The sequence below is a fragment of the Homo sapiens genome, chromosome 4, assembly GCF_000001405.40.
Source record: "Homo sapiens chromosome 4, GRCh38.p14 Primary Assembly".
Taxonomy (NCBI): domain Eukaryota; kingdom Metazoa; phylum Chordata; class Mammalia; order Primates; family Hominidae; genus Homo; species Homo sapiens.
The window spans coordinates 69,995,448-70,003,481 of NC_000004.12; the positions used below are offsets into that span (position 1 = coordinate 69,995,448).

The 8,034-nt window shown below is 32.5% G+C and overlaps 1 protein-coding gene across 2 annotated transcripts; it reads left to right on the forward strand.

Moving 5' to 3' along the window:
• The first annotated feature begins 518 nt into the window (after positions 1 to 518).
• On the forward strand, positions 519 to 7,123 carry STATH (statherin). Of its 2 annotated transcripts, NM_003154.3 has the most exons (6): positions 519 to 578; positions 2,976 to 3,041; positions 4,220 to 4,240; positions 4,333 to 4,362; positions 5,416 to 5,535; positions 6,742 to 7,123. In NM_003154.3, exons 2-5 carry the CDS (start codon positions 2,991 to 2,993, stop codon positions 5,500 to 5,502), a joined length of 189 nt encoding a protein of 62 aa, NP_003145.1. In that variant the 5' UTR covers positions 519 to 578; positions 2,976 to 2,990; the 3' UTR covers positions 5,503 to 5,535; positions 6,742 to 7,123. The 2 variants fall into 2 exon arrangements, with proteins under 2 accessions (NP_003145.1, NP_001009181.1); NM_001009181.2 differs by lacking the exon at positions 4,333 to 4,362.
• Positions 7,124 to 8,034: the final 911 nt, after the last annotated feature.

The window sequence follows — 8,034 nt, forward strand, 5'->3', positions numbered from 1 at the left end:
ACTTTGTAACTTAAAATATTCTAAAGTCAATAGAAGATGGTAAAAGTATGAGATAAATAATGATTTGAAGAAAAACTCTTGAAGTATATGAAGACTGTAATTTTATTATGCCAGTTACCACGAGTTATCAGAGAACATGTAAAATCTTGATAACATGGTAAGTATTATTTGTGTCATAGAGTTGTTCCACCTTGGACACATACTTGTGGAAACATCTTTATCACTGCAATTATTTCTATGCCTGGTTTCCTCCAGCATGCTTTTCTGTCATCTGACTCACTCAGCGCTAGACTAACAGTGGGATTAACATGCAGTGGGTACAGTTGTTTCCTGGTTACTTTGTCTTCACAATCATCTATTGCAAAATCACTTTGTTACGGTTATTTTTATCATTTGTAGAGACAGATTTTGGGCATTACTTTTAGTTTCCATAATGTGATCTCATAATTGCCATTATTTAACAAAAACAAATGGGGGACTTCAGAGTGTTTAAATACATTGGCCCTCTAGGGTAGCACATCATCTCTTGAAGCTTCACTTCAACTTCACTACTTCTGTAGTCTCATCTTGAGTAAAAGGTAATATGTTCATGTATAATCGAATATGTTGTCTTAATCTAGAGTGTTGCTTCCTAAAATCTTTTGAAAACTAATTATAAAAATGTGTATTTATGTAATGATAATTTCTCATAAAGAAACAATTGAGAGAAATGATGACCTTCTTAGGATCTGAAGGTAAGTTGAGAATCTGAATAACTATACATTGAAATCAGCAATCATCATGCAAAGTAAATAATGTGGAATATGGAGACATATTCCAACTTCTCTCCTGATGGAACTTCTGAAAAGCTTTTTATTTCCTTGTCTACGTACTGGCATCTACTCTGCTACTTACTACTTTTACCTTTATTCGAAGTTCATATTTTAAGAAAATAGCATACGTTCTCTTTTTTGCAAATGTATATATTGTTTCACAAGTTTAACTTTTAAAAATTTACTTTTTTCCCATAAGTAAACATTTCTCACTACCTTTTCATTGACCTTTCCATCATTTTAAACAGTTATGTCATTCTGCATAATAAAAAATGTTGTATAACAGTCATGCTTTACTGCCTTACTGTTTTATATTACTTAAGTTGTTTTCATTCAGTTGTGATATGGCAGAAAACAAAGATTTTACTATTTCATATTTTTATTATTTTTCATTGGGGAAATATTTTTTTAAAACCATGACATATATATTTATATATCTATGTCTATATATCCATCTTTCAGTTTATCAAGGTTAGTAAAACAAAACTACTCTTCTATGAGCATTTTTTGATTCCATACTTTCAATAAAATTTACAGGTATAAAATACACTAAAGTTTTTATGCTTTTTGCATCATAAAATGACTGATGGGTAGGTTTATCTATCAGGTGATAGAAAAACCCCAAAGTACATATTATTTTTACACTTACTCTAATACCAGAAATTTCCTTTTTTTTTTTTTTTTTTTTTTAATTTGAGACAGAGTTTCGCTCTTGTTGCCCAGGCTGGAGTGCAATGGTGCAATCTCGGCTCACCGCAACCTCCACCTCCCGGGCTCAAGTGATTCTCCTGCCTCAGCTTCCTAAGTAGCTGGGATTATAGGCACTCACCACCATGCCCAGCTAAATTTTTATTATTATTATTTTTAGTAGAGACGGGGTTTCTCCATGTTGGTCAGGCTGGTCTTGAACTCCTGACCACAGGTGATCTGCCCACCTTGGCCTTCCAAAGTGCTGTGATTACAGGCATGAGCCACCACACCCGGCCAGAAATTTCAGTTTGAATAACTGAGGCAAATCAGTGAATAAGTAACAAAGCAAATGCCATAAATCATGAGTTCTGCTTTATGTTTTGGAGATTTGGGGTTATTAATAACAGTAATTTTTTTTATAATTAGGTAAAAAATATTCTTGTAATGTTTTATCACAAGTTATTGGTAAAAGAGATTAAAATAATGAAGACCATTACCTTTATATGAATTACTCTATAGTTTTCAATAAACAGGTAAAAATGTCATTTATTTGTAACTCTTGTGGCAATTATGTGTTTCACTGAAAATGTCTTTATTTAGATGTTTATAATTTACAAATAAATAATCTAACGTTTTTTGTTTAATAACAAAGGAACTGGGTTAACTGGCTTATACTGTTTATGATAACATATCACAGTCCCAGATAAGGTTAATTTTGTTGAATGAGATTATTTAAAATATTAAGTCATCTTCACCAATTCAACTTCTCAGAGGAGGTACGAATATTTTCTCTGTGACTTCTTATCAGTTTGATTGTTCTCTACCCAGTATCATTAATGTTCTAATCTGAAGGTGACCCCATTTTTGCAACTCTCAAGACAGAAATCTGGCTCATTTTCAGTAACATTATAAAGCGATTGCCCATTGCTGGTCATTCTAACATCCAAACATCTCTTTACACTGTACCTTAAATATCATCCCTAATGTCATTATTTAAGGCGCCCCATAATATCCAGTTCTATCTTCCCTACATTTTGAACTGTTCCAGTTTTATCTTCTGATAAACTGCTCCAGTTTTATCTTCCCTACATTTTGAACTGTTTGCACTTTCAATATGGTATCCTCCCTCTTTTTCATTTTCTTGCAGTCACCCAACACCTCTTTACTCATCCTGCATAATCCAACTCAAGCTTTACTTTCTTCTTTACCTTCATACCCCTATTCTCTTGGTCTGTGTAAGGTGTTGATTTGTGTGTTACTCTAATGCCTTAGCATTTCCATATCAATACACTCACTTTTACTTATCAGTGTCTCCAACAAGTCTCCAAGTTTCATGATGTCAGGCAATGGGTTTTAATTGTCTTTCTATCTGGAGTGTGTCTCCCAGTGCTTTGGAGCGTAGTATAATCAATAAACTTTTGATGGGCGAATGCAAGAAAAAATGTGATACTGAATTTCCACATATGTTTTCAGAGAACCCAGCCAACTATGAAGTTCCTTGTCTTTGCCTTCATCTTGGCTCTCATGGTTTCCATGATTGTAAGTATATCAGGACATTTGAAGAATATGTTCTCAGTACCTATCCCAAGAGTCTCTCTATTCCTTGTGTTCTGGCATATATTGGTGTTTACTTGAATACAGCTTTATATGTTTAAATGTTTCCATATGAACTTTTTTTTGTACTAACCTACATAAGCTATATAAGGATTTAGAATAAATAGTCATTATTCATCTACAGACACTAAAGTATATTTAGCTTAGTGTGAAATAAAAGAAAGTTTTACTGAACTTCTTAAATATGTGGAACTGAGAGCTTCTAAAAGTATCTTTAAACATGTAATGCTCTAGACAATCTGAAGTTAGAAATCTCAGGAATGAACTAGGTGCACTTGAGTGGAATTCAAGTATTAGAAGATGTCAAAGTAGAAATTTTCAAGTCATTCCTTGCAAAAACTAACTTAAAATTAGTATACAATTATTTAGCACACACTTTCTAAAATAAAGCTGCTTATTTTTAACTATAAAACAAAACTTCAGATCTATGACATGTTATGAGTTCCCAGCTTTTATTGTCATTTACTACTATGTATCACTAGGTAAAGCACTTGACTTCTCTGGAGCTCTTTCTTCTACTCTACTTCCTTCTATTTCTCCTGTCCCTTTTCTATGACATTAGTAGGAAACTGGCCATGAAAGAATAAAAATAGTTCAACTTACCTGGTAAATTCTAACAGATATTTCAAAAACTAATTTGATTATAAAATCACAGTATACCACATTATTTGTTATAAAAGGATAGGTGTCTAAAAAATAAAAAATAAAAATGTAAGGAAAACAGAGAAAAACATAATGCTTGTCTCTGTCAGTAAATAAAAGTTATGTGTAAGTAGCCTTTGAGCTGCTGAAAACATATTCTTATGAAAAAATACAAAGTTTCACTTTTCATTCACCAATGATAACCATTTACTCCCTTTTACACACAAAACAAGTATAAATCCAAATAAATTTATATTTGAATATAGCACACTAATTACAGAAAAGCATACTCTTAACTCATTTTAAAGATGTCATGAAGCAAAAATAACTAATTTAGTGTCTATCGATGATTTGCCTACATCCTGTTTACTCACAACTGTAGCTGCTGAGTTCATTTTTGTACTCAATCTGGAATTATAACATTAAGATACTAACTATTGTCTAATTTTCTGTTTTCTAAGGGAGCTGATTCATCTGAAGAGGTGAGTCATTTTCATTCACTGGAAAACTTGTTTTCAGTTTTGTCCTCCCTACATTTGTATTGAATTATTAAACTTTTCTTCATTTTTCACAGAAATTTTTGCGTAGAATTGGAAGATTCGGTGTAAGTGTTCTCTGATAATGCTGTGTAGTCCAAATAAATTGTGTTCTCTGATTACTTATTCTTCTAGAAGAACCAATACTTATTTCTCAAATATGTGTAGTAGTTGCAAAAGTGTGCTTTGTTTTCCTCTATTTATGATACACAGGTAACAGTCACAAATGTATTGTGTCCTAACAACATTTAAGTTGAAACTCATAGTGCCAACCTGAAGAAACCAGTTACTCCCTGAGCCCTCAAGTATCATCTCCTAAGTAATCACTTTGACCTAAAAAATAGTTGAAATTCTAATTCTGTTAATTATAATATATGCCTCATGGAGCATAAAGGCTGATAATTACACATAAAATATGGTAAGTTTGCACCTTCTGATTTTTTTTGACGGTGATAAACTCATTAAATTAAACAGGTCATGATAAATGAGATAGCAAATTTCATTTATTTAACATTTTTCTTAATGTATGTATCTTGATGTCCCAGTATGTTGACATATAATGTCAATGTGATAGGGTTGCAAAAGATCCCCTAACTAATATAGTGAATACATGGATTAAAATAACACCAAATAAAAAGATACTCTAAAAGGGATGATGGTTATTTGTGTTAACAGAAGGAAGAAGTATTAAGGAATGTAGGAATCGTAAGAGACAGTAAGCTCATTAAAAGAGTGACTTGAAGAAACACCACATAAGCTGAATTTAGTAAATGTCTCCTTCCCATAATACTCAAAGGTGGGCAAAATGGTTGCTGGGAGGTAGTATTTTGAAGAAAATTTAAAACCTCTTTGGAGTGATAGCCTATAATCGGTGTTCCTGCATGTGAAATAAAACCACAAAACTGTGAACATGCAGTACAAAGGTAAACACTCAATCATTTTTACCTGCTTTTAAAATGTGTTTATAACCAAAAAGAAAAATCTAATTGAAAGTTTGGAAAAAAATCTTATAAGTAATATGTAAGTTCCTAAAACTTTAACAATCTAAGCTTCTAATAAAAACGCTTGCACTGTCATTATCTCAATTTTCTGCAATTTTCTTTCTCCTTGTGTGTATACAGTATGGGTATGGCCCTTATCAGCCAGTTCCAGAACAACCACTATACCCACAACCATACCAACCACAATACCAACAATATACCTTTTAATATCATCAGTAACTGCAGGACATGATTATTGAGGTAAGATGGGTTTAGTGACATTTTTTTTACTTTCTGTATCAGTGCTGACAGTTAAAAGAAGAAAAACAAAAACAAGACATTAAACCAACAGCAGTTCCAGTATAAGAAAGCAGCCAGCTGTATAGCTCCTTGAAATGTATTAATTTATATAAATGCTTCTGAGATAGTCTCTGTCCTGCTATGGTTAGAAGGCAGTGTTATAGAGTGGGGGACACCAGGGTTTGTATGCTGGCCCTGACAACTACTAGTTTCATGACTTTGAACTACTCCTAATGCTCCTGAACCTCAGTTTTCTCGTCAAAAAATTGTGTATTATGATAACACTTAAATGTGCTTTTTAGAATTGGTGACACTTTTGAAAGACATATCACATAAAATCTCTTGATCAGAAAGGTTTGTAGTTATAACTGCAGGGCTTCCCTGCCACTAAATCTGTACCTAGGTGTTGCTTAAAGTTTTCACTCCCAAAATGCAATCTTTGGAGAAGCTTCCATCTGGGAACCATCTGGGAACTTGTGAGAAATTTGCATTTTGTACCCTAAGTAACTCTACTGAGCAATTACTATAGAAATTATTAACATAATGCTAACAAGAAAATATGGAAATGTTATCAATTTCTTTTTAGAAAGTCAGTTTTACCTATCTCTACACAACATTAAATGTTCTAAATTCTATGAAAAAATAATATTTCAAAACAAAATAGAGCAAACTCTTGGAGATAAGGGAGGATTGTTCTACAAAGTTAAAATAGTCCAAAGGATTTCAATTATTTTTCAGTGCATTTGGGAGATTATATTCCAATTCAATTCTCTATTGCCATTAGTGATACAGGGAAGAGCCTGAACTTGATCCCCTAGGTTTTAGGTAATAGCTGATGACATTTAATCAAGAAAAGATGTATTGAAATATTATTTAGAGGAAATGCATATAAATGAAATGTGTAGGCTATATTTAAGTAGAAGAATAAAATAGTATGATGATTGAAAAATAATTTAAATTGTAGATGCTGAATGATAATTTTTATTTATTCAGGAACCAATTTAATAATTGTTTAATTGTCTACTCTGTGTCAAATATTATTTTGGGCCCTGCATTTTATAAACTATAATTGTATATAATATCTACTCTGTACCAGGCCAGAATATAAATGTGTTTACAGGGGTAAAAATTTTACAGATAATCTGTTATTTTTTTTTTTCTGTGCAGGCTTGATTGGCAAATACGACTTCTACATCCATATTCTCATCTTTCATACCATATCACACTACTACCACTTTTTGAAGAATCATCAAAGAGCAATGCAAATGAAAAACACTATAATTTACTGTATACTCTTTGTTTCAGGATACTTGCCTTTTCAATTGTCACTTGATGATATAATTGCAATTTAAACTGTTAAGCTGTGTTCAGTACTGTTTCTGAATAATAGAAATCACTTCTCTAAAAGCAATAAATTTCAAGCACATTTTTACATGTATGCTCCTTATTTTTCTCTTTTCTATTTATAGGAATAATGATTTCTTTCATCATCTTCTTTCCCAGTTTGACTAGCACAGATTGAAGCCCATAATGTCAGAGGTCCTTATTTATAATTTAGTCTGTCATATTTTATATGTTACAAACATGGTACTCAAACTCACTTATTATTAGAGCTATTTATGCCAAGATTTGATTTGCCCATGGTTTCCTTTGCCACACCACAGTTGCTAAGCCTCCAAAGCACTCACATTTTTTATCTCAGTCCCTGTAGGTCAGAAGATAACCACCATGTCACTCTACAGCAGTATGTAGGCACTCTGCATGTAAACCATCTAATGCCCTCCATTAGTTTTTCAGCAATGACTTTTATTCAAGAAATATTTATTGAATGACCCCAGCTGTCAGGTCCTCTTCTAGATGCTGCAGACAAAGAGAGACAAAAGTCCTGTCTTTGGAGAGTTTACATTGTAGTTGGGAGATGCAGATACAAAGTAAATAAATAGTACATATCTTAGGCAATGATAAGTGTGCTAAAGAAGTATAAGCATGTCTAGGGCACAGAAACAAATTTAAACAGGATAGTCAACAAGAGACTCTCTGACATAGTGACATTTTATGAAAGATATGAACTAAGCATGAGAGCGAATATGGAGAAATAAATTTTCCAGCAGAAAATAGCAAATGCAAATTTATTGTGATAGAAACATGTTTGTTTCATTAGGGACAAATTCAAGGAGACCAATATGGACAGAGAAGGCAAGTGGATCAAAATAAATTACGTCACAGCATAAGGGATACGCAGGTAACTAAAGCTTTGTGGCCCATGTTAAGTCTTTGATTTGAGATGGATGACATTGGAGAAAGACATAATCTTATTTATATTTTGGAATGGAATCAAGGGTTGAATCATAGATATCCACACTTGGGCCTTACAGAAATCTGTGGGTCCTTCCTATTTTTATGTCCTTTTATTCTATGTGTTCCTTTTAAAATTTATTTTATTTTCCTCTAAGCCAGTAC

Coding starts and splice junctions, on each gene's coding strand:
- STATH (NM_003154.3), top strand. CDS start 2,991: ATGAAGTTCCTTGTCTTTGCCTTCATCTTGGCTCTCATGGTTTCCATG. Junction 3,042..4,219: donor CTCTCATGGTTTCCATGATT/GTAAGTATATCA, acceptor CTGTTTTCTAAG/GGAGCTGATTCATCTGAAGA. Junction 4,241..4,332: donor GAGCTGATTCATCTGAAGAG/GTGAGTCATTTT, acceptor CATTTTTCACAG/AAATTTTTGCGTAGAATTGG.